This window comes from Homo sapiens, chromosome 14 (genome assembly GCF_000001405.40).
Source record: "Homo sapiens chromosome 14, GRCh38.p14 Primary Assembly".
Taxonomy (NCBI): domain Eukaryota; kingdom Metazoa; phylum Chordata; class Mammalia; order Primates; family Hominidae; genus Homo; species Homo sapiens.
Window position 1 is genome coordinate 50,213,281 of NC_000014.9, and position 25,742 is coordinate 50,239,022.

General features: G+C 41.7%; 1 protein-coding gene across 11 annotated transcripts in view, besides 5 other annotated features; it reads right to left on the bottom strand.

The window, feature by feature from the left end:
• SOS2 (SOS Ras/Rho guanine nucleotide exchange factor 2) overlaps positions 1 to 18,602 on the bottom strand; it is a 114,753-nt gene extending 96,151 nt beyond the window's left edge. For 4 of the 11 annotated variants that reach the window (XM_047431717.1, XM_047431714.1, XM_047431715.1 and 1 more), the window contains exons 1-2: positions 17,917 to 18,298; positions 10,250 to 10,390 (exon numbers count right to left, since the gene is read on the bottom strand). In XM_047431717.1, coding sequence (XP_047287673.1) covers positions 10,250 to 10,390; positions 17,917 to 18,003 — 228 coding nt within the window. In that variant the 5' untranslated portion in view covers positions 18,004 to 18,298. Of the gene's footprint in view, positions 1 to 2,093; positions 2,153 to 10,249; positions 10,391 to 17,555; positions 17,837 to 17,916; positions 18,299 to 18,492 lie in introns of those variants that run through there. The other 7 variants (NM_001411020.1, NM_006939.4, XM_047431716.1 and 4 more) reach the window with 4 other exon arrangements.
• Positions 12,528 to 13,054: an enhancer, noted in NCBI's record as "NANOG hESC enhancer chr14:50692526-50693052 (GRCh37/hg19 assembly coordinates)". NCBI's record gives its function as "activates a minimal SCP1, AML or CMV promoter by ChIP-STARR-seq in primed H9 embryonic stem cells {active_cell/tissue: H9 hESC(primed)}" and the evidence as "EXISTENCE:reporter gene assay evidence [ECO:0000049][PMID:30033119]".
• Positions 17,890 to 18,969: a silencer, noted in NCBI's record as "silent region_5718". NCBI's record gives its function as "represses an Ori minimal core promoter by ATAC-STARR-seq in GM12878 lymphoblastoid cells {active_cell/tissue: GM12878}" and the evidence as "EXISTENCE:reporter gene assay evidence [ECO:0000049][PMID:35858748]".
• Positions 19,120 to 19,209: an enhancer, noted in NCBI's record as "active region_8354". NCBI's record gives its function as "activates an Ori minimal core promoter by ATAC-STARR-seq in GM12878 lymphoblastoid cells {active_cell/tissue: GM12878}" and the evidence as "EXISTENCE:reporter gene assay evidence [ECO:0000049][PMID:35858748]".
• Positions 24,278 to 24,478: a silencer, noted in NCBI's record as "peak2154 fragment used in MPRA reporter construct". NCBI's record gives its function as "represses an SCP1 promoter by STARR-seq MPRAs in K562 erythroleukemia cells {active_cell/tissue: K562}" and the evidence as "EXISTENCE:reporter gene assay evidence [ECO:0000049][PMID:32103011]".
• Positions 24,284 to 24,423: a silencer, noted in NCBI's record as "silent region_5719". NCBI's record gives its function as "represses an Ori minimal core promoter by ATAC-STARR-seq in GM12878 lymphoblastoid cells {active_cell/tissue: GM12878}" and the evidence as "EXISTENCE:reporter gene assay evidence [ECO:0000049][PMID:35858748]".

Here is a 25,742-nt window from a genome sequence, read left to right on the forward strand (position 1 = left end):
AAAACTGGTAAAAAGTTTGAATTTGGTAATAAGTGTACTACATAGAAAAACACACAAACAAGAAAACAAGATAATTAATAACTCCAGTAAAAGCAGTGAGTTAGAAAAGAAAAAGCAGATTAAATAGCATTTATAGGCCGGGTGTGGTGGTTCATGCCTATGATCTCAGCACTTTGGGAGGCCAAGGTGGGGGTGGATCACTTGAGGCCAGGAGTTCAAGACCAGCCTGGCCTACACAGTGAAACCCCGTCTCTACTAAAAATACAAAAATTAGCTGGGCCTGGTGGTGCGTGCCTGTAATCTCAGCTTGAACCCTGGAGGTGGAGGTTGAGGTGAGTGGAGATTGTGCCACTGCACTCCAGCCTGGCCGACAGAGTGAGACCCTGTCCCCCCCACCCCAAAAAAAAACCCCAAAAATAGCATTTACAGTCATAATAATGTAAACTTTGAATATTAATCCAACTCAAATTAAGATATAACTTTGAAGTGGGGGAAGAGAAAGTGGAAAGTGTGTGTGTGGTTGGAGGGGAATGTATGTGCATATTAAAGAATATTAAATCCTTTGTGCCACTGCACTCCAGTCTGGGCAACAGAGTGAGTCCCTGCCAAGAAAAAAAAAAAAAAAGAGAAAAAAGAGAATATTAAATCCTTACCCTCCGTGGTAGGAAGTCAACAGATAACATCCAAAACAGAAAAAAACATGAAATAGCAATATAAGCACTTTTTCTTTCTTAGAAATATAGAAGTAAATAAATCACTTTGAAAAGTTAAAATGGTTTTCTCTAGGAAACAGAAAATTTTGTGTTTAAGGGGGAAGTAATGCTATTTTTCATAACAAGCTTTGCAGAGCGAATTATCTTTTTATTTACATAAATAATTTTGACAAAATACAAACTAATTGATAAAGAAAAATAATTTTGAATTGGGGAATGGGGAAGTGGAAGGCCATAGTAAGGAAAGACTACTCTTTGAAGAAGTCTGGTCCAAAAAGTCTAGCAGTAAGGCAATTAGAAATTCATATAGGACCAATAATAAAAAAAAAAAATCAGGCTTTCTAATGTATTTCTATGTTAGAAATATGTTTCTAACATATTTTCTAATAAATTCAAATTAGGTTTTGGAGAAATAAATATTTCCTCTTATACCCTGCACTTCTTTAACACAGCCAGAGATAACTTAATTACATTTTAGCCATACATTTCTAATAGATCAATCGACTTTTAAAAGACATTTTTAAAAAAGTAGACATTTAACTAGGCGTAGTGGGGTGTCTGTAGTCCCAGCTACTCTAGTGGCTGAGGTGGGAGGATTCCTTGGGCCGAGGAGTTTCAGGCTTCCAAACATAATGAGACTCCATCTTTAAATAAATAAATAAACATTTACATTGTAAGTGTGGCAGTAGACTTCATAAGGCCGTTTCTTTTTTTTTTTTTTTTTCTTTTTCTTTTAAAGATGAGGCCTACCTAAATTGCTCGAGCTGGTCACCAACTCCTTGGCTCAAACAATCCTCCTGCCTCCTCAGGCCCCCCTCCCTGAGGCAAGGTTGTTTCTTTCTTTCTTTTTTTTTTTTTTTGAGACGGAGTCTTGTTCTGTCCCCCAGGATGGAGTGCAGTGGCGCGATCTCAGCTCACTGCAAGCTTCGCCACCCGGGTTCACGCCATTCTCCTGCCTCGGCCTCCCGAGTAGCTGGGACTATAGGTGCCCACGGCCATGCCCGGCTAATTTTTTGTATTTTTTAGTAGAGACGGGGTTTCACTGTGTTATCTAGGATGGTTTTGATCTCCTGACCTCGTGATCTGCCCGCCTCGTCCTCCCAAAGTGCTGGGATTACAGGCGTGAGCCACCGCGCCCGGCAAGGTTGTTTCTTATAACATCTTTCCATAAAAAGCCAAGGGCCCCACTCAGTGAAAATGATTGAACATGAGAATTAAGATAATGTCTAACTGGGATGGATTCTTTTTCTGTGATTATGATTTTGTTAAATAAGCTACAAAGCAATTTGAACATCAAGCATCAAAGTTTCTTATGCCAAACTTCTTAATTTCAAATATGAAAACAGTCATAAAAATAAACACACAATGTTAAAATCTCACCCATAAATGCTGTAACAGGACATCAAGAGGACAATGGAAGAGAACCATGCTTTACACTTCTACAGAGACAGTAAACATAAAATTACCACGACAGAACCAATTTGCCTATCATATTTTTTGAAAGCCTAGTCAGAAAAAGAGCAATTAAAATAATTTCCAGTCTTTAACAGTAGATTAACAAGTCAGACCTGTATTTTAGTTACACCATATTTTCAAATTGCCAGAAGGCATTTCCTTACTGTAACACTATAAATAGAATTGTTAGTGGGTGCAGCGCACCAGCATGGCACATGTATACATATGTAACTAACCTGCACAATGTGCACATGTACCCTAAAACTTAAAGTATAATAAAAAAAAACAAAAAACAAAATAGTCTCATACTATAAATCCATGTGTAGACACACACAAAAGCACTTTAACTTTTTACCCTGATAAACCACTACATTTGACAAGTTATAGAAATGTTATTTCCTAATTTATATTTTTCAGTTTTCCATCTTCACATTTAAATTAAAAATCTTGCTAATGCACTTGTTCAGTAATTAACATTTGAGTTTCAGGTACAATGTGGAAATAAATCCTTTTGGATATAGAGTCTGACTGATATTTATTTTTGCCAAATTCTTCATTGTGCTGCCAAGATTTCCACAAGGATGCAAATATCTCAAACATCAATTAAGAATACTGGCAATGTTTTCATTATTAAATGTTTTGGGTTTTTTTTGTTTTTTTTTTTTGAGATGGAGTCTCGCTGTTTCACCCAGGCTGGAGTGCAGTGGCAGCAATCTTGGCTCACTGCAACCTCCACCTCCCAGATTCAAGAGATCCACCTGCCTCAGCCTCCCAAGTAGCTGGGACTACAGGTGTGCACCATCACGCCCAGCTAATTTTGGTATTTTCAGTAGAGACAGGGTTTCATCATGTTGGCCAGGCTAGTCTTGAACTCCTGAGCTCAGGTAATCTGCCTGCCTCAGCCTCCCAAAGTGTTGGGATTATGGACGTGAGCCACGACACCCAGCCCATTATGAAATATTAAAATTCAATTTAAAAAGAAAATAAAAATTTTAGTTGAAGTATATATACTAAAACTACAAAATACTGGCAGAGCAAGGTTGCTCACACCTGTAATCCCAGCACTTTGGGAGGCCAAGGCAGGTAGATTACCTGAGGTCAGGAGTTTGAGACCAGGCTGGCCAACATGGTGAAACCCCGTCTGTACTAAAAGTACAAAAATTAGCTGGGCAGCTACTCTGGAGGCTGAGGCAGGAGAATCGCTGGAACCCGGGAGGCAGAGGTTGCAGTGAGCTGAGATCGTGCTGCTGCACTCCAGCCTGGGTGACAGAGTGAGACTCAATATCAAAAAATAAAAACAAAATACAATAAACATGAATAAATAAAAATAAAAATAAAAATACAATATACTGCTGATAGGAATTAAAGACTTAAATAAATGAAGAGATTAAACTATGAGTTGGAAGACTCAACATTGTTCTGATGTCAATTCCTCCCAAATGATCTGTAGATGCAACACAATCTCAATCAAAATTCCAGCAAGCTTTTTTGTAGAAATTGATATGTTGATTAAAACATTCTCATGGAAATACAAAGGTCCTAGAATAACTGAAACAACTCTAAAGAAGAACAAAGTTGAAGGGCTAACACTACCTGATTTCAAGGATTTCTATAAAGCTATGGTAACCAAAACAGTACGGCACTGACATAAAGATAAGGAAAACAATCAATAGAACAGAATAGAGAATCCAGAAATAAAACCACACATATATGGGCAACTGATTTTTTAAATAAAAGCATGAAGACCTTTAGCAAAGGAAAAGGACAGCCTTTTCAATAAATGGTGACAGAACAACCAGATATCCATATACAAAAAAACAAACATACCATATACAGAATTATCACACCATATATAAAATGATTCAATCAGCACCATAAGACAAGGTGAGATTTTTTTAAAAAAGAAAAAGTGATTCAAATGAGTCATAGATATAAATATAAAATTTAAACTATAAAATTTCTAGAACAGGCTAGGTATGGTGGATCACACCTATAATTGCAAAACTTTGGGAGGCCAAGGACAAAGGATCACTTTAGATCAGGAGTTCGAGACCAGCCTGGGCAACATAGTGAGACCCTGTCTCTATTTTTGAAAATTAAAATAAATAAATAAAAAATTTCTAGAAGGGAAAATTTTTGTAACCCTGGGTTAGGCAAAGATTTCCTTGATATGACACTAATGGCACAGTCCCTAAAAAAACAAATTGATAAAAATTTAAAACTTTTGGCCGGGTGCGGTGGCTCACGCCTGTAATCCCAGCACTTTGGGAGGCCGAGGCCGGTGGATCACGAGGTCAGGAGATCAAGACCATCCTGGCTAACATGGTGAAACCCCGTCTGTACTAAAAATACAAAAAATTAGCTGGGCGTGGTGGCGGGCGCCTGTAGTCCCAGCTACTCGGGAGGCTGAGGCAGGAGAATGGTGTGAACCCGGAGGCAGAGCTTGCAGTGAATCGAGATCGTGCCACTGCACTCCAGCCTGGGCGACAGAGCGAGACTCTGTCTCAAAAAAACAAAAACAAAAACAAACAAACAAAAAAAACTTTTGGTCTCCAAAAGATAGTATAGGCCAGGTGCAGTGGCTTATGCCTGTAGTCCCAGAACTTTGGGAGGCTGAGGCAGGATGATCATTTGAGGCCAGGAGCTTAAGACCAGCCTAGGCAACACAGCAAGACCCTATCTCTTAAAAACAAAAAAAAAAAAAGAAAGAAAGAAAAAGATAAAAAGATAGTATTAAGAGAATGGTATATAATGAAACTTCGATAAAAGGAAAAAAAAAAAAAAAAAAAAAAGGCCGAGTGAGATGGCTCATGCCTGTAATCCCAGCACTTTGGGAGGCCAAGGTGGGTGGATTCCTTGAGGCCAAGAGTTTGAGATCAGCCTGGGCAACATGGCAAAATCCTGTCTCTACTAAAAATACAAAAATTAGCAGGGCATGATGGTGGGTGCCTGCAATCCCAGCTACTTGGGAGGCTGAGGTGAAAGAATCGCTCGAACCCGGAAGGCGGAGGGTGCAGTGAGCTGAGATTGTGCCACTGCACTCCAGCCTGGGCGACAGAGCAAGACTCCATCCCCCCAAAAAAAAACAAAAACAAAAACAAAAAAACAAAACAACTCAACAAAAATGGGCCAAAGATCTGAACAAACACTTCACCAAAGAAGATATATGGAAGGCAAATAAAAACATGAAAGATGTTGAACATCATTAATCACTAGGGAAATGCAAACTAAAACCACAAAGTACCATTACACTGCTATTAGAATGGCTAAAATTAAATTACCAAGTATTGGCAGGAGGAACAGGATCTCTTATATTGCTGGTGGGAATGTAAAACTATACAACCACTTTAGAAAACAGTTTGAAAGTTTCTTAAAAAGTTAAGCAGCCAGGCGTGGTGGCTCATGGCTATAATCCCAGCACGTTGGGAGGCCGAGACGAGTGGATCATGAGGTCAAGAGATCGAGACCATCCTGGCCAATACAGTGAAACCCTGTCTCTACTAAAAATAGAAAAATTAGCCGGGCGTGGTGGGGCGTGCCTGTAATCTCAGCTTCTCAGGAGGCTGAGGCAGGAGAATCACTTGAACCCGGGAAGCGGAGGTTGCTGTGAGTCAGGATTACACCACTGCTCTCCAGCCTGGCAACAGAGCAAGATTTCGTCTCAAAAAAAAAAAAAAGTTAAGCATCCACCTACTATCCGATCCAACCACTCTTTGGTAATTACCAGCAATTTCCATTCTTTGTATTGAAACATATCTTCATACAAAGACTTGTACACAAATATACATAGCAGCTTTATTTGAATAGCCAAGATCTGAAAAACTAAATGTACATAAATAAGTGAATGGATAAACAAGCCACAGTATATCTACACAATGGAATACACTACTGAGCAATAAAAAGGAATGAACTATTGATACATGCAACATAAATGAATCTAAAATAATCATGCTGAAAGCCAGATTGAAAAAAAAGAGTATGTACTGTATGATTCTATCAGTATTAATATAAAACTCTAGAAAATGCAATCGATAATGACAGAAAACAGATTAGTGATGGCTTGGGATGTCTCCTGAGAGTGGGGAGAAATAGGAGGGAGAATTACAGTCAAGAGGAAATTTATGGGGCTGAAGGATATGTCTACTAGCTTTACTGGGATGGTTTTACTGTGTATATATAACTTATCACATTGTTGAAAACATCAAATTGTACATTGTAAATATATGTACTGTAAATATATACTTTATATCAATTACATCCCAGTAAGGTTTTAAAAAATAATTCTAAAATATAATATTCTAAGGCAACATTTTTCTAATCAAAGTGTATAATTAAAAATTGAAACCACAGCTGCATACTCTAAACTCATTAAGATCAGGAACCATTTCTCGTTTGTTTTTTGGGGGGCAGGGGAGAGGTGTGGAGACAGAATCTTGCTCTGTCACCCAGGCTGGAGTGCAGTGGTGTGATCACCACTCACTGTTAAGCCTCGAACTCCTGGGCTCAAGTGATCCTTCCACCTCAGCCTCCCTTGTGACTGGGACTACAGGTGGGCACTACCACACCAGCTCCCATTTCTTGTTTTCGGTCTCCTCCTCCTATTTCCCTACACCTGTATGCTTAGCATACAGGTAATCTAGTATGTCATTAAAAGAACAGACCCTGCATTGGGCCAGGCGCGGTGGCTCACGCCTGTAATCCCAGCACTTTGGGAGGCCGAAGCGGGCAGATCACGAGGTCAGGAGATCGAGACCATCCTGGCTAACATGGTGAAACCCCATCTCTACTAAAAATACAAAAAAAAAAACTTAGCTGGGCGTGGTGGCGGGCGCCTGTAGTCCCAGCTACTAGGGTGGCTGAGGAAGGAGAATGGCGTGAACCCGGGAGGCAGAGCTTGCAGTGAGCCAAGATAGCACCACTGCACTCCAGCCTGGGCGACAGAGCGAGACTCCATCTCAAAAAAAAAAAAAAAAAGAACAGACCCTGCATAAAGAAAGCACTCAGTAAATACTTGTTAAATAGATTCACAGCAGCAAACAGATCTCTTGGCCTCACTGAAATTATCTGGATACTGGAAAAAATTTTAAACTCCATAAAATTTGTTTTCATTTCACTGGAAATGTATCTGGAGACCTGGTTCTCATACAACATTATAAATGAAGGAATTCCCTCTCTTACGTTTCTCTATTCCTCCCACTGTCCATTAATAATTCTCAGAGTCCATGCTCTTAATTAGGTACTTTCAGCAGGCTTTCACAATGTAAGTTTATTTAAAATGCAGATAAGTACAGGCCAAGAAGCTATTTCTACTTAATATTAGGTGAGAGCTTACCATAATATAATCAAATATGTAAAAAAGATTAGCTGAAGCAAAAATTTTTGTCATCAAAGTTTTCTTTGAATGGCCTATGACCCAGAAGCACCTTCCCATAAAGGCAGGTCATTTGCTTGTAAACCCAAGACAGTACAGGCTAGAAAAATGGTTCCCAATTTGTTCCAGTGGCAGATCATTTGGAAATCAGTGTTCTTTGCAGAACGTGAAATTTTAAGACTCATATTCTATCACAGCAGGGACAATGCTAGTAATGACTTTAAAACTTAAAATCAAACTACAGGAACATGTTTCTAAGAAAAAAACCAAAAAGTATTAAAAGCCATTTTCCCTTTAAAACCTCCATGATCATTCGCTCATTTATTTTACAATCTTTCACTACTCACTAGCAAGTAAATTGCAGCAGACAACAAAGATTTTTTTTTCTAATTTATGGAAGAAAAATAAAATTGAAAAAATAATTGCTTTTTTTCCCCTGTGAACTGGGAAAAGATCGCTATTAAATTTGTTTCATTCACTTATGTTTAATAAATTCCCAGGCCAAACACCCACGTCTGTCAGGACACTTTCTAAACAGCCATATGTACTCTTTCCTAAAGAAGATCTGCCTGACAAGGTGCCTGCACACAGTGAGTAAAGCAGGGTCTCCTTTTATACCTGTTTTCACAGTTGCCCTCTCATTTTACTAAGAAAGGCAGATCTCTCACTTATCTTGAAATTCTCTATAGGATACATGTTGCTCTGAAGTGCAATAAATAAATCCTAGACACTAAACAAAGAGATAATTACAAATATTTTCATTTAAGTATCTTGCCTCTTCCATCCTCTAGCCTAGTGGAAAAATACATCCTCCTGAGGGGACAGGCCCATGAAAATAAAAAGAAAGCATCTTTAAGATTTTTAAAAAATTAGCCAAGTGTGGTGGCATGTGCCTGCAGTCCTAGCTACTCAGGAGGCTGAAATGGGAGGATCGCTTGAGCCTGGGAGGTTGAAGCTGCAGTGAGCCATGATCATGCCACTGTACTCCAGCCTGGGTGACAGAATGAGACTTTAATAATAATAATAATAATAATTCAGTTCAAAAGACAGGTTTTAAAGCTTTACGGTTGTAGGGAAAATCCTTTTAAATTCAATATGTAGACTTTTTTGTTGTTGTAAGGAGTATAAATAAAAAAGTGCGATTAAAGACTTAAATCTAAAAATATCATATTAGAATTATGCAGGGGAAATATAATGAAAAAAGTTCACAGAGAAAAAAAGGACAATGTAAAATTTCCAACTTTTAAAGACACACTTTTCATGTGTATTTTTAAAAAATGATGGTGGATATCAAATTATTTTGGTATTTAAATTCCATTCAGCACATTTAAAAGACTGATGCAACTGTTTTACCTTAAAACATCAGTATTTATAACACATATGAAATTACATCTACTGCAACTATTTAAATGTAAAATGAAAATTTCTAGATGTCAGCATAAAAATGTGCAAGTTTTTCAAAATTCTTTTGGGGATACACAGCAAAAAAAGTTAGAAAACTCCTAATTTAGGAGAAAGAATCAAGTAGATTCAGTGATGAATACATGTTAGCCTGGCATGAGAAAGAGGGGAAGAATGATGACTAGGTTTCTGGCTTGAGAACTGGATACATCATTTATATTGGAGATACAGGTTTATGGGAAAAAATACTGTGAACACTGATGTGGGACTGTCTGGGAAGCAGGAGGATGTAGCAGTTTTAGATAGGCTGTAAGAGAAAATCTCTCCAAGAAAATGATGTCTGACTATAAAGACCTAAAGGAGGTAAAAGGGCCAGCCACGTGATTATCTGAGGGAAGGGTGTTTCAGGTAGAAAATTCAGCAAGTACAAAAGTCCTAAGACTAAAACATGTCTACGTTATAGAAACAAGAAAGCCAGTATGGGGCAGAAGCAGAACAAACAAGGGACAATATTAAAGAGGTCAGAGAGGTAAAAGCGGGAGGTGGGGCAGCCCTAGACTGCAGAGGGCCTAGTAAACCTTTGGGAGGACTTTTTTGACTTTTATTCTGAGAAGCACTGAGAGGGTTTTGAACAAAGGAGTGAAATGATCTCACTTATCTCTTTGTGTTTGGGGAGAAAAAGAAACTAAATAGGACAAGAGCAGATGATCAGAGACCAGTTGAAAAGATATTTCAATATTCCAGGAGATTGGTGATGATGACTTGGTTCCAGGTGGTAAAAGTCAAAAAGTATAAAACGGTAACTAAATATATAGTTTGAGGTAGAGCTAAAAGGATGTGCTGACAAATTAGATGTGTGGTATAAAAAAAGACAATATTCAAGAATAACTTAAGATTTTTAGTTTGAGCAACCGGAAGGATGGAGTAGCCATTTATTGATATGTTAACCACTACAAAAGAAACAAGTTTGCAGGGGAAGAAAAGGATACAGTGTTGGTTGAGATGCCTCTGTGGAAATATCAAGTAAAAAGTTGGCCGGGTGTGGTGCTTCATGCCTGTAACTCAAACACTTTGGAGGCTGAGGCAGGAGGAATGCTTGGGCCCAGGAGTTGGAGACCAGTTTATGCAACACAGTAAGACCCTGTCTCTACAAAAAGTTTTTTAAAAATTGGGGCTGGGCGTGGTGGCTCATCCCTGTAATCCCAGTACTTTGGGAGGCCGGGGCGGGCAGGTGACGAGGTCAACAGATTGAGACCATCCTGGCCAACATGGTGAAACCCCGTCTCTACTAAAAATACAAAAAAATTACCTGGGCGTGGTGGCACACGCCTGTAGTCCCAGCTACTCGGGAGGCTGAGGCAGGAGAATCACTTGAACCTGAGAGGTGGAGGTTGCAGTGAGCCAAGATTGCACCACTACACCCCAGCCTGGCAAAAAAGCGAGACTCCATCTAAAACAAACAAACAAACAAAAAATTAGCTGGGTGTGGTGGCACACACCTGTAGTCCCAGCTATATGGGGGCGGCAGGGGGGTGAGGTGGGAGGATCATTGAGCCCAGGAGGTTAAGGCTATAGTGAGCTGTGATCTTGCCACTGCACTCCATCCTGGGTGACAGAGTGCGACCCTGTCTCAAAAAAAGAGTTGAACATTCATGTTTAAGAAAGAGGTCTGAGCCAGAAATGTAAATTTGGTAATTATCAGATTTAGATTATACGTGAAGCAATGAGGCAGGATGGCATCTCCAAAGGAGGATGTGTTAATAGAAATAGAAGTCTAAAAATTGGCCAGGCGCAGTGGCTCACGCCTGTAATCCCAACACTTGGGGGGCCGAGGCGGGCAGATCACAAGGTCAGGAGTTCAAGGCCAGCCTGGCCAACATGGTGAAACCCCATTTCTACTAAAAATATAAAAAAAAAAAAATTAACCAGACGTGGTGGTGCGCGCCTGTAATCCCAGCTACTCGGGAGGCTGAGACAGGAGAACTGGTTGAGCCTGGGAGGCAGAGGTTGCAGTGAGCCAAGATCGCACCACTGCACTCCAGCCTGGGTGACAGAGCAAGACTCCGTCTCAGGAAAAAAAAAAAATATATATATACACACACACACACACACACACACACACACACACACACACACACACACACATATATATAAATGGGCTCTGGGGAGGTCAGAAGGATGTGGTCACAGAAAGATGAGGAGGAATCAAGGGAAGGGAAACTAGAAGGAATATTCAGAGAAAAAAAATCCCTGAAAGCTTGATATTCTTCTGGAAGCCAAATGAAGAAAGGATTTCAAAAAAAGAAGAGATCAACTGTCAAATGCTGCTAATAGGTCAGTTAAGAAAGAACTATAATATACTTTGTATGTAAGAAGTAGTTTTTGGCAGGCAGGTGGCTCACTCCTGTAATCCCAGAACTTTGGGAGGCCAAGGCTGGAGGATCACTTGAGTCCAGGAATTTGAGACCAGCCAGAGGACATAGCAAGACCTTGTCTCCACAAAAAAAATAAGAAAATTAGCTGGGTGTAGTGGCACATGCCTGTAGTCCCAGCTACTCAGGAGGCTATAGTGGGAGGATCATTTGAGCCCAGGAGTTGGAGGCTGCAGTGAGCTATGATCATGCCACTGTACTCCAGCCTGCGTAGCAGAGCAAAACCCTGTCAAAAAAAAAAAAAAAGAGAGAGAGAGAGAAATAGTGTTTGAGTTTACAAAATGACCTAATGAGGAAGAAAACTGGAGTACAGAAAACTTTACTTAGAAGAGCTAATACTAGTCCTTATATCTAGATCTTGGTATTATTTTCATCTTGTTGCTTCACTTCTACATGTTAAAATGTGAATGTGTAATACTTTATCCATTTGAAAAAACTTTGTACTAGCATATATTCTTATGTAAAAGAAGAAAATAATTTTTTATGGACATGGGGTCTCGCTATGTTGGCCAGGTTGGTCTTGAACTCCTGGCCTCAAGCAATCCTCCCATCTCAGCCTCCCAAAGTACTAGGATTACAGGCATGAGCTACTGCACCTGGCCCATGGAAGAAAATAATTTTTGGTTGTTAATTTTTAACATGAGATAATGCTAAATCCACTAGTTACATTAAAATTCCTTTTGATTCAAATATGCAGGATATAATCAAATTACTGTTCCCTTGAAAGAGAGTCCATGGTTAATACAAAAGACATATAGTTGATTTATGTCAAGGGGTAACACAGGTAATGCTTTGAATACTCAGCATAAAACACTTTAATGGAATATTATTGCTCCAAATATACCATACCAAAATTAAACCAAAAATAGAAGGCTACTTAATCATTGCTGACAGGGAGCCAAGTACAGCAAGTTAAAGTACATTCCTACCGCTCATCTAGTTCTGGCTGAACTCTTCGGGTCAGTTTGGGTCATTATTAGTTTGGAATAATTCCAAATGACTCCCTCGAGTTCTACTGTTACATTCAGCGGCTTTAGGAATTCCAGAACAGGCTCATGTCACAAAAATCACAGGATCTCTTATTAGTTTTTGGCTTTGACTTGAAGTAATCTTTTCAAAAAGCAATTCTGATCAAGTTAATCTAATTACTTTGCTATGTAAATGAGAACCCAACAGGACTTCCTATTCTCAGGCAGAGACCTTAACTCAGTGTACCTACAGTCTACCATACTAGCTTCATCCACTTATTCTTCTTGTTTTTTAAAATAAGTCATTAAATTCAGAATCTGAGACCTATTCAAAACAAACAAACAAACAAATCATGTTCTTACTTTCCCCTCAGCCTCAAATCCTTCCCCCCCGCCCTTTTTTTTTCTTGTTAATTCTACTGATCTTTCAGATAATTGTTTACTTCCTTATTGTCTGTCTCTCTGCCACAGCCACTTAGAACACAAGCTTTATAACAGCAGGGGCTCTGCTACATCTTCCGTATCAAGAACAGTGTCTGCAGCCAGGCGACGTAGCTTACACCTGTAATCCCAGCATTTTTGGAGGCCAAGGTGGGAGGATCGCTTGAGCCCAGGAGTTCAAGACCAGCCTGGAGACAGTAATATTACTATATTTGAATATATAATCCAGAAAGAAGCACAAATGTTGCTTGCTTAAAGTCTTCTTTGACTCTCATATATCAATGACACCAGTTATATTTTCTCAGATCACCCTGTACTTTTCTTGTGGGCCTCAGGAAAGATCCAGTGCCATCTTCTAAAACAAACTTCCAAGAGACATTTGTACAAACGCAGAAACACTAGGATCTCAGTAGAACTTCACAAAACCATTTTTAAATCAAAGCCCCTACCGATCTTTTTCCTTGCCGTAGACTGCTATTAATTAACCCAGACATTCTCTCACACCTCTTGCCTTTTAGATATCTAAGAGCAAATTGTCACAGGGTGGGGAGGTCGATATTTAACCTGAATCTAATTGGACTCAGGAACAAAGTAATTCAACCAATTCTTTCTAGCTTTCTCTGACATTTTTAACTACAGCTGGCAAGAAAACAGCCATGTTCTTTTCTATGGCTAGCCTGGTGAAAAACACCTTACAGAAAAGACATCTACAAAATAAATATCAGGGACTGTAAAATCTGATAAAATGATTTTGAGGCATATTTCCCATATGAAGAATGCTGATTTATCTCAACATATAATCAAATAACACATGCATATAGTACCAAGGGATTTCAACGACACAGGTAATAAACTGCATTTACAAATATACACCATGCTCTTTTTTCCCCAAGTAACACAATAGCTTCAATGATCTTGGGGAGCAGTGGTGAAGGCAATTATGTTCTAGGCTCTTTTAGGGAAGATACATAATTTAGCAGTAATGTTAACAATCCATGCATTATCCATTAGTAGTGTCATTTCACTCTGCTTTGTAGCTCTCTGTTTTTAAATGATCTAGGTGAGGTTCTATTTTAAAAGTTTAAGAACAAGCAAAAAGCTAAAGAACACCACATTTCTATTCCCAAAATTATTTTTCCATAAACCTATTTGTCTATCTCTGTGTTTCTTTTTCTTTCTTTCTTTCTTTTTTTTTTTTTTTGAGACAGAGTCTCGCTCTGTCGCCCAGGCTGGAGTGCAGTGGTGCGATCTCAGCCCACTCTAACCTCTGCCTCCCATGTTCAAGAGATTCTCTGCCTCAGCCTCCCGAGTAGCTGGGATCACAGGCATGCACCACCACACTTGGCTAATTTTGGTATTTTTTTTTTTTGAGACAGAGTCTTACTCCATCGCCCATGCTGGAGTGCAGTGGCGCGATCTCGGCTCAACTGCAAGCTCCACCTTCTGGGTTCATACCATTCTCCTGCCTCAGCCTCCCGAGTAGCTGGGACTACAGGCGTCCGCCACCACGCCCGGCTAATTTTTTGGGTTTTTTTCTGTATTTTTAGTAGAGATGGGGTTTCACCGTGTTAGCCAGCATGGTCTCGATCTCCTGACCTCAGGTAATCTGCCCGCCTTGGCCTCCCAAATGGGATTACAGGCATGAGCCACTGCGCCCAGCCCATCTCTGTGTTTCTATGTAATGCAATGAATACTTGAGATTGGTTTTTTAAAAATCCCTTGAATTTTCAATGTTGACAATGGTGACTTTGTCAAATACATATATATATGGATCTATATATGGGTATATATGGATATATACATGGATATAGACATAGATATCCAGTTTTCATAAAAACTAGCCAAAACTGGAAAATAAGCAAAAGAATACTGGCTGTGTTTCAGTACAGTGCTATGCTTGAATCTTTTATTAATTTCTACTGACTATTTTACACATCTATAAGATTAAGTTACAGCTTTTCAGCAGATAGAGATGCAAGTAATTTTTTTTTTTTTTTTGAGATGGAGTCTCGCTCTGTCGCCCAGGATGGAGTGCAGTGGTGTGATCTCGGCTCACTGCAACCTCTGCCTAGCAGGTTCAAGTGATTCTCCTGCCTCAGCCTCCTGAGCAGCTGGGATTACAGGCACACACCACCACACCCAGCTAATTTTTGGTATTTTTTAGTAGAGACGGGGTTTCACCATGCTGGCCAGGCTGGTCACGAACTCCTAAACTCAGTTGATCCACCAGCCTCAGCCTCCCAGAGTGCTGGATTACAGGTGTGAGCCACCACGCCCACTGAGATGCAAGTAATTTTTAGCCAGAGGAAAATATAACCCAAAGCCTACTCTTTTATGTTTCTTGTAGGGTATTAACTAATTCTGTATGTAACCCAACAGTCTTAATATTCCCTTATTAAATTGCCTATAAATACCTCCTCAAATTTTCATATTAAGTGACTTTAACATCTTACTAGTTCCCTCATCAATGGGCTGAATCAAAATAATTGATACATGTTCATTTACATTTGCATGGAAGTGATGACTTTACCTTTCTGAAAATTACGTTCTAACAGTTTTGGAGGTTCCACCAAGATGTCCAAGTGGACTAAACTGACAGAGCCAAGTAAGCTACATTGCTGCTTTCATAGACACACAAATACCCCTTACTGAACTCTGAGCTCAGAACCGCTCTCATTTACATAAACCAAAACCTCAAATTTTAGAATTTTTGGTTTAGATGGTATACATCTTTGGAGGGGCCTTTATTTTAACTTTGTACTCTTAGGATCCCGCATCATGTCAAGTATGTAAAATGTGTTCAATAATGGTTAAGTGAATTAATGAAGCTAGAATACACCACATGTACAATGGCAACACCAATTGAAGGAGAGAGATATTCCAATCAAATCCTAGTTGTCTTTGTAACGATCTGGTCAGCTAGAGGAAGGATGCCAAGTTCTAGATGCTCTGAATGTGAAGACAGAGACTCCCCCAAAATGGTAGAAATTCTCATTTTACAAAGACAAGGTGGCTGATGCATACCAGAATTTAAAACTTCCTGCAAAGAAAGAGTGAACCTTTAGCTCCCTAAGAGCTACAGCTCTTAGCAGGCACTACAGACCTACAAGTTGCAATGTCCTAAATACCATAAAAGTGGACATAATCTTAATTACTTTTACCAAAATTTTTCCAAAAATATAAAAAAATTTTCCATACGTATGTATTTCAATTCTATCACAACAGTAAGTTAATAGAAAATGTTTTCTGAATTCACCTCAAAAGACCAAATTTTCTTAGATGTATTTATTTCATAAAGAACATACTAGAACTGTGGAATATAACATAGTATCTACAAGGCACCTGAGTTCCAGGAAAACAAGCACAATATAAATGCAAAGTAATAGCACCAAAGCAATGGACTAGGATTGGATGCTAATCTTGGCTTCTCCAGCCTAACTTGAAAAAAAAAAAAAAAAATCTGGGTCTGGTGCGAGGTGGTTTATGCCTGTAATCCCAACAGTTTGGAAGGCAGAGGTGGGCGGACTGCTTGAGGCCAGAAGTTCAAGACCAGCCTGGGCAACATAGCATAACCCTGTCTCTATTTGAAGAAAAAGAAAACATAAATCTGTTTCTGGACATAAAGGATTATTAGAATCAAAGCTACCTATTGAACAAGTTATGCAACACACACCCAAATACTATTTGCTACCAGAAAGTTATAAATGGGTATATACCTGCGTCACATTGCCAACAATATAGGCCTACCTGATTACTGCACTCACACTTGTCTGTGGTCAAAGGGCTAATTACTATCTAGGCATTTCCCCCTTTGCTTTTAATTCAGGCCAGAGTTCATTTTCACCACTCAGCACACTTTTCATTTCTTTCCCTCTCCTTACAGAATTGGGCTGCACATGGAAGTAAGGTCAATTTAATACTTTAGCACTTGGTATACCAATGGAATAACTGTCTAGCTGCCACTAGTCATTTCTGCCAGGTTCTTTAAAAAGATACGACTTAGTGTTTGCCCTGAGGAAAGCAATACTTCCTTGTAAGAATTATGAAAATAAGGGAAAATCTGCAACTCTCATCGCATGAGGAAAATGTCTTTAACTTTAAAATACACTACTTCCTTTCATTTATAGAAATTTAATGTCTGAGGATATATTTTCCAAGTATAGTCTTTTAAATTAATCTTTATTTTTTCCTTATTTTAGAATGTATTCTTGGTTATTTTGCACAAAAGGCAGAAGAGACTAAGTCTGCATTAACGGCAAAGAAAGAAAGCCCCTGCTCAACAGGCATGACAGCTGATCACGCACCTATTCACAGTCTTTAAATGTCTTGATCTTACAGAAGGATTTATTATAAAAATGATCGTATGGTTACTACCTAAATTCACAGAGGAAGACCGCCACCATCTACAGGAAAGATGCACCCTAGCAATGCACCCAAACATGAAAGACTGATTTGCAGGAGTTGCCCCTTTCTTGTTCCTTAAAATGATTTCAAGTCCTAAATCGCAATTTGGTCGTGAAGACACTGAAGACACTGACCAAATTTTCTAAGGGTAATCTCTTGTAAACAGGTAAGACACCGTTTGCAGGAAGTGGGAAGGCGCTTTAAATTTACCTTGAGAACTGTAAAATGAATAAGAATATTATGACTCACTGACATTTCACACATGTGAAACATCCATATTACAAAAAACCATTGCCTCATAAGTGGATACCCTTGACAAGCAAACCGCCTAGGGGGAACACTCCCAAAGAACTTAATTAAAAGTAATTACCCGGCCTGAAAATGTGCTTTTGTTTTAGAAACTGTCTAAATACCAGCGGGACTTTCTCTTGCCCGATTCCAGCCTGAGGACAACAAATTGGTCAACGGCGGAAGTTGCCTGACGAAATGACTGCAACATGAAATCCAGTTTTATGATCATAACAAAACCTTCCTTCCGGGACCAGGCAAAAAAAAAAAACTTGAGAAACGTCCTTCAGAATGCAACAGGCAATTGTGAGCCCCCCATTGCCAGCCAACGAGAAACGGCTCGGCCCCGGGGACTCGAGCCCTGTGGGAGGGACGACCTGCTCCCCGTTAGAAGCTCGGGGGGCCACGGGCCACCCGCCGGCCGCCCCGCCCCTAGCACTGACCTTCCGCAGGGCCGAGACCAACAGTCCCCGCCATTTCGGACTGTTCTCCTCGCTGAAGAACTCGTAAGGCTGCGGCGCCTGCTGCATGGCCCCGGCGACAGCGCCTCCGCATCGGGGGCAGCCCGCGGGCCGGGCCGGTGGCCTGACAGGCAGGGCGCGGGCCGCCTCGCCTCGCCGGCGGCCGCCGCCTCCCGCCCGGGCCGAGGCTACGGCCGAGGCGGCTCGGAGGCGGCGCCGGCGGGCTGGCGGAGACCCCGGGGTCGGCTTCCTCCGCCGAGGCGGCCCTCGCCTCCCGCAGCGCCCGCAGAGGAAGCGCGGCGACCCGCAAGCCCGGGCGACCCCGGGCGGCGACCTCCTTTCCCGGCGGCGCTGGCCCGCTTCTGGGGCGGCTCCTCCTCCTTTGTCTGGGTTCGCGGCCCGTCAGGGGTACAGCTGGCCCAGCCCCGCCCCGACTCCCGCTACGGCCGCGGCGGGCGGTGAGCAGCGGCGGCGGCGGCGGCGGCTGCTCGTCTCCTCATCGCCTCCTCCCCGCCCTCCCAGCCGACAGCGCCGCCCGGCCCTGCCCACTCGAGTCACCTCCACAGAGCTCTGGGGACCGACCCGGAGTGCGCGTCGGGCGAGCGAGCCTCGCTATGGCGCGCACAGCGCTGGCCGCCGTTGCTGCCCCTTTAGCAGCAGCGCAGAGTGCCTTGGGGTCGCCGCTGAGCCCTGAGTCCCAGCAGCCGAGGCTCGGCCCGCCCCCTCGGCCCGGCGCTCATTATCCCGAATAGCCCAAGAGGCCTAACACGGAGCATGCGCGCCGCGGAGCAGGCACAGGCGCCAGCCCGGCGCGGGGGTGCGGGGCCTGGGGCCCCGGGGGAGTCCGCTTTTCCCGAGACTGTGCTGGGGGCCGCTCCAGACTCTTCAGTTTGACTGCTTTTTACCCATATGCTCCCTCCTCTCGACCTGCTTAAGACAATCCGGACTCGGTGCCACTCTTGTAGCGCTGGAGCCCCAGGACTACCGTCGTGGGAGGCTGCATAGGGACGTGGAGAGAAAGGGGCATTCGGGCTGGACAGGATATTTAACGTATTTGTGCTCTACGTGGCTTGTTTTCATGAGTACCGTATGTTTACACAAAGTAGGTACTATATATAATATATCGTTAGGAGATACAGTAACTATTTCTTAGGGTGATGGTGTGGGGACCGAGAGATGAGGCGTGGAAAGCCCTTAGCCTGGTGGTAGGGTCAGAAGGGGCAGATGACAGTGACGTTGATCAAGCTTGAATTGAAAGGTCCTTCACTTGCACGGGCCCCTGTGCGTTCACAAAATCATATCGTTTTTACAAAACTTTCAAGATATTTTCGAATTGTTTTCTTAATCGTGTCATCCAAATTGTGTAGGCTTCAGGTCCTACAAAACCTGGATCGGCGTCTAGGAAACACTCATTAGCAACCCAGAAAAGATCCTGACAAGCTTTTCAATCCAAAGAGGCATAGGCTCTGGTAACTCATTACCACAAATTTCATCCCACTAAAGAGGCTGAGCACATTACTTTTAACAGGTTGTAAAGAAGATATTTTACTCCCTGTCCCTAGCCACCAGCAGTGAGAAAGGGAAAAGACGAACAGGGTACAAAAAATAAGTCAGTACTACAATTCAGTTCCGGCATCAGTAGCTGAGCAATTATTCTCCCCAAAACATGCACCACTTTTTCATTTGGGCAAAATCAGAATGGCAGAGTTGGAAAATAAGATTATTTTTCTAATCCACTAAAGTATCCACTAAATCAAGAACATCCTCTAATAAATGGCCATATCCATTCACATGTACTTGGGATAAAAGGTGGGATGGTAAAATGCTTGTATTTCTCCCATTAATGTTTCAGTCTGTGAGAGCGAAGACTTTGGCTTATATAGAGGGTCCTTACTTTTCTCTCCTGTTCCCAGACTCCAGCTATAAACTACTGTGATGTCAAACTACTAGACCATGTATGTTCTCTTTACTCATAGGAGAGTAAACTTGTTAGAAATCTCATTCTTGGCTAGGAATATCAGAAGGCTTTTCTGGGCCAAGTCAGGCCTGAAGACATATTTTGTTTAGCTAAGGCTGTATTTAAATTTAATTGTTAACATTTTAAAATCAAGAGGCTTCATATAAAAATGTATATTTTCAGCTTCTCTTGACAAAGATCTGGCAACACTGGGACCTACTGCATTCGTGCAAGAGAGTAATCAGCAGGCACCGGGTAGTGGCTGCCCTCTTTATAAAAATATGCCATCCATTTCCAGTTGGCTATACTTCCCACCTGGCACTCTTCACCCTTTTATGTAACTTGCCTAGTCTCTACAGGCATCTGAGTTCTGATGTCTGGGCTGAGCAAACAGAAATATGATCCACGTGCATGTGGAGGATAGTCCAAGAATGACAGCAGTAAAAAGTTTCCCATTCAGGGCCGGGCGAGGTGGCTCACACCTGCAATTCCAGCACTTTGGGAGGCCGAGGCGGGTGGATCACCTGAGGTCGGGAGTTTGAGACCAGCCTGACCAACATGGAAAAACCCCCTCTCTACTAAAAATAACAAAACTAGCTGGGCAAGGTGGCGCATGCCTGTAATTCTTAGCTACACGGGAGGCTGAGTCAGGAGAATCGCTTGAACACGGAAGGTGGAGGTTGTGGTGAGCTAGATCACGCCATTGCACTCTAGCCTGGGCAACAAGAGCAAGACTCCGTCTCAAAAAAAAAAAAGTTTCTCATTCAGACAAATGGGCTATCTAGAAAAAATGTTGGATCCATACCCTATACAATACACTAGCAAAAACTCCAGATATGTCAAAGATTTAAATGTAAACAATAAAACCATACAATGATTCATTTATAACCTCAGAACGGAAAAAGACACTTTCACTATGACACAAGATCTAAAAGACCGATAAATTCAATTTTTATAAATGTATGAGCCGGGCATGGTGGTACATGCCTGTAATCCCAACAACTCCAGTGGCCGAGGTAGAAGCATAGCTTGAGGCCAGGAGTTGAAGACCAGCCTGGGCAACACAGTAAGACCCTGTCTCTTTAAAAAAAAAAAAAAAAAAAAAAAAAAAGGGCAAAAAAAATCACCAGATAAGCCAAAAGGAAAATGACAAACTGGAAAAAATAGCAGCAACTCATTTTTGTGGGTTTTTTGTTTGTTTGTTTGTTTGTTTGAGATGGGGTCTTACTCTAACTCAGGCTGGATTGCAGTGCAGCGGCATGATCTTGGGTCACTGCAACCTCCGCCTCCTGGGCTCAAGTGATCCTCCCACTTCAGCCTCCCGAGTAGCTGGAATCACAGGCACGTGTCACCATGCCCGGCTAATTTTTTGTATTTTTGGTAGAGACAGGGTCTCACCATGTTGCCCAAGCTGGTGCAATTCATTTTTGTAGTTAATTTCAGTAAAATATAAAAGAGCTCCTACAAATTAAAAGGCTAAAATTCAATAAGAAAAACAAAGGGGCCAGGCACAGTGGCTCAACACCTGTAATCCCAGCACTTTGGGAGGCCGAGGCAGGAGGATCCCTTGAGCCCAGGAATTGAAGACGAGCCTGGGCAACATAATGAGACCCCATCTCTATAAAAAAACTTTTTAAAAAATTTAAAACAAAAAAAGAAAAAAGAAGACATACAAATGGCAAATGGGATATGACAAGGTGCTCAACATCATTGATCATTAGAGAAATGCAGATCAAAACTACAATAAGATATCATCTCACCCCAGTTAAAATGGCCTATATCCAAAAGACAGATAATAACAAATGCTGTTGAGGATGTGGAGAAAAAGATAATTCTCTTTTGGGGGTTATACTGTTATCATTTTTCACCTATTAGAATAGCACAGATGAAAAAGTTTGATTACACACTATGATGGTGAAGATATGAGGAAACAAGCATTCTAATATATTGTAAGTGTATTAGGACTATAAATTGTTTCAACTTCTGTCAAGGGGAACTAGATAATATCAAAGTTTCTCTTTGACCTAGCAAATTCTAGGAATATGTCCTGTAGATATACTTGCTCTTACATGAAGTCACTTAGAGACAAGGTTATTCATTGCAGTGTTGTTTATTATACCAGAAGTAAAGCAAAACAAAAAACGCCCTAGAAATAAACAGTTTAAATAATCATCAGTAGGAATAGGGGACTAGTTCAATAAATAATAGTAAATCCATACAGTGGAACCTATAAAGTTATTTTAAAATAACCAGGCCTCTGTGGAACATTATCTAAGATATGCTGCAAAATGAAAAGTGCAGGATGTATAGTACTGCAAGTATGGTTCCTCATATATATATATATATATATATATAAGGAATGCAGCATTTTATTATATAAGCATTTGACTCAAATAATTTCTCTGCATTTACCGTATTGGTCTGTTCGCATGCTGCCAATAAAGACATACCCAATACTGGGTAATTTATAAAGGAAAGAGGTTTAAACAACTCACAATTCCACAGGGCTGGGGAGGCCTCAGGAAACTTTACAATCATGGTGGAAGGGGAAGCAAACATGTCCTTCTTCACATAGCGGCAGCAAGGAGAAGTGCTGAGCAAAAGTGGGAAAAGGCCCTTATAAAACCATCAGATTTTGTGAGAACTCACTATCATGAGAACTGCAGCATGGGAGTAATCGCCCCCATGATTCAATCACATCCTACCGGGTCCCTCCCATGACACTTGGGGATTATAGGAACTACAATTCAAGATGAGATTTCGGTGGGGACACAGCCAAACCATATCAGCAAGGCTACAAAGATTTTTGTTGCCACAGGGATGAAAACTGGGTGGCTGGAGATGAAAGGGAGATTTTTCACCGTGTACCTTTTTGTGACTTTTGTTGTTGTTGAGATGGGGGTCTTGCTATGTTGCCCAGACTGGTCTAAAAACACCTGGGCTCAAGAGAGCCTCCCTCCTTGGCCTACCAAAGTAGTAAGATTATAGGTGTCAGCCAACTTTGTCTAGACCCCTTATTGTGACTTTTGAATTTGCAACCACATAAAAATGGCACTTATTCAAAACACTAATTAAGAGTTATTTTTAATGAAAAATTTCCAGTCTAACTATAAACTTTTGCTTCAAGTGTTAAAAAATAAAAAATTAGGCTGGGCGTGGTGGCTCATGCCTGTAATCCCAGCATTTGGGAGGCTGAGGCGGGCAGATCACCTGAGGTCAGGAGTTTGAGACCAGCCTGGCCAAAATGGTGAAACCCCGTCTCTACTAAAAATACAAAAATTAGCCAGGAATAGTGGTGGGTGCCTGTAATCCCAGCTACTCAGGAGGCTGAGGCAGGAGAATCACTTGAACCCGGGAGGTGGAGGAGGTTGCAGTGAGCCGAGATCGCGCCACTGCACTCCAGCCTGGGCAAAAAAGGGAGACCATCTCAAAAAAATAAAAATAAAACAAAAAAATGCAAGTATTAAACACACTGATACTATAAGAGGGAGGGCATATGTATACATAACAAAAAGCTTAATCACAAATTTGTACTGAAATATGCTAACTATCATGCTAATATATTTTTTTTTTTTTTCGGGACAGAGTCCCACTCTGTCACCCAGGCTGGAGTGCAGTGGTGCGATCTTGGCTCACTGCAACCTCTGCCTCCCAGGTTCAAGCAATTCTCCTGCCTCAGCCTCCCGAGTAGCTGGGATTACAGGCACACACCACCAAGACCGGCTAATTTTTTTGTATTTTTAGTAGAGACGGGGTTTAGTCATGTTGGCCAGGCTGGTCTCGAACTCCTGACCTCAGGTGATCCGCCTTCTTCAGCCTCCCAAAGTGCTGGGATTATAGGCGAGAGCCACTGCACCCAGCCAATAATTTGACAGATTGTAATTTTGCTTCCCTTTTTAAATTAATTTTTTTTAAGAGACAGGGTCTCGCTCTGTCACCCAGGCTGGAGTGCGGTAGCGTGATCATACTAGCTCCCTGCAGCCTTGAACTCCTAGGCTCAAGGGGTCCTCCTGCCTCAGCCTCCCAGGTAGCTAGGACTACAGGTATGCACCACCAAGCCCAGCTAATTTATTTTGTAATTTGTATTTTTTTTTTTTTTTAAGAGATGGGGGTCTTGTTCTGTTGCCCAGGCTGGTCTTGAACTCCTGGTCTTAAGCGATCCTCCTGCCTCGGCCTTCCAATGTACTGGGACTGCATGAACCACTGCATGAACCACTGCACCCGTTACAGGCATGAACCACTGCACCTGGCCTTTACCTTTTTTTTAATTTAGAAAGGATTTGGGGAAAATGTGAATGATCCAAGCCCAATTAAAATGTTAAAAGACAGTTAGAAATTTACCACTAATATTCTCCCACTTGAAAACATTTTCAAGAAGGACTTACTCAACATTTCTTCCATTTACTCTCTCATACTTCCTCAATTTATTTAAAGCTACAAGCGCTACCAGTCAATAGCAAAGCAAAGCAACGCCACAGGAAACAATAAATGTTGTTATCACTCACTTTCATGGGTTGCTGCCATAGCCAGCTCGGTCCTCTCACAGCCACCTGCCTGAAAGAAGTTGAAGCAGGCCCTCAGACAGGCCTTTGTCCTCTGACCCTTATGGGAGGCTCATGCCCAACCCCCTGTAAGAGACAGCATACCTAAAAGGTCTTCCCAAGAGGAACTATAATTTTGTATGAAACTCCAAAAGATCGATTTAAAAGTATGCCTCCCCACTCCCCACAAAAAAGGCATTGTATGTTTATATGTTACATACAACGTGCTATTGAGCAAAAAGAGTGTTTTCTGGTTCTCCAAGGTATGAAGATGCCACCGAGGTCATCCAAATATTGCCACCACCACCAGGTGGAAAGTCATCGTACGTGGGGGAAGTAGCTGTTCCAAACACCATCTCCTATAATCAAGGTGAAAGGGCAAAGCATTGCTGGGCGTGGTGGCTCACGCCTGTAATCCCAGCACTTTGGGAGGCCGAGGCGGTCGAATCACAAAGTCAGGAGATCGAGACAATCCTGGCCACGGTGAAACCCTGTCTCTACTGAAAACACAAAAAATTAGCCTGGCGTGGTGGCAGGTGCCTGTAGTCCCAGCTACTCGGGAGGCTGAGGCAGGAGAATGGTGTGAACCCCGGAGGCGGAGCTTGCAGTGAGCCAAGATCGTGGCACTGCACTCCAGTCTGGGGGAGCAAGACTCCGTCTCAAAAAAAAAAAAAAAAAAAAGCTATCTGAAAGGTTGAGATGGGGATCCCTTGAGCCCAAGAGTTCAAGGCTGCAGGGAGCTATGATTGCACCACTGCATTCCAGCCTGGGTAACAGTGAGACCCTGTCTAATAATAATAATAATAATACATTCGTTCAGAGAATACAGAATCATTGGAAAGCTAATGAAGTAGATTCTGGTTGAGCTTTCAGGAACAAGTCCCAAAGCCACATCACAGAACCAGGCCACTAAGAGAGTAATTTCAAAATAATTATGATCCACAGAGAACTGCCACACCATGAGTCTAGCCATTGCTGCTGCCACATAAAACTAGTGACTGAAAAAAAGCATCATTCAAATTTTTGTTATTTATGTTATCGCAATAGAATCCTTCAAATTCCTGACAGTTAATGAAGTTGAGCTGTCAACAACGAACGTATTCGTAATCTGTTCAGTATAGCTCCCAGTCTATCAGATACACTAGAGTGAGATATAGAAGGCAGAAGTGAGCCCAGGCACGGTGGCTCACGCCTGTAATCCCAGCACTTTGGGAGGCTGAGGTGGATGGATCACCTGAGGTTAGGAGTTCAAGACCAGCCTGGCCAACATGGCGAAACTCTGCCTACTAAAAGTACAAAAATTAGCCGGG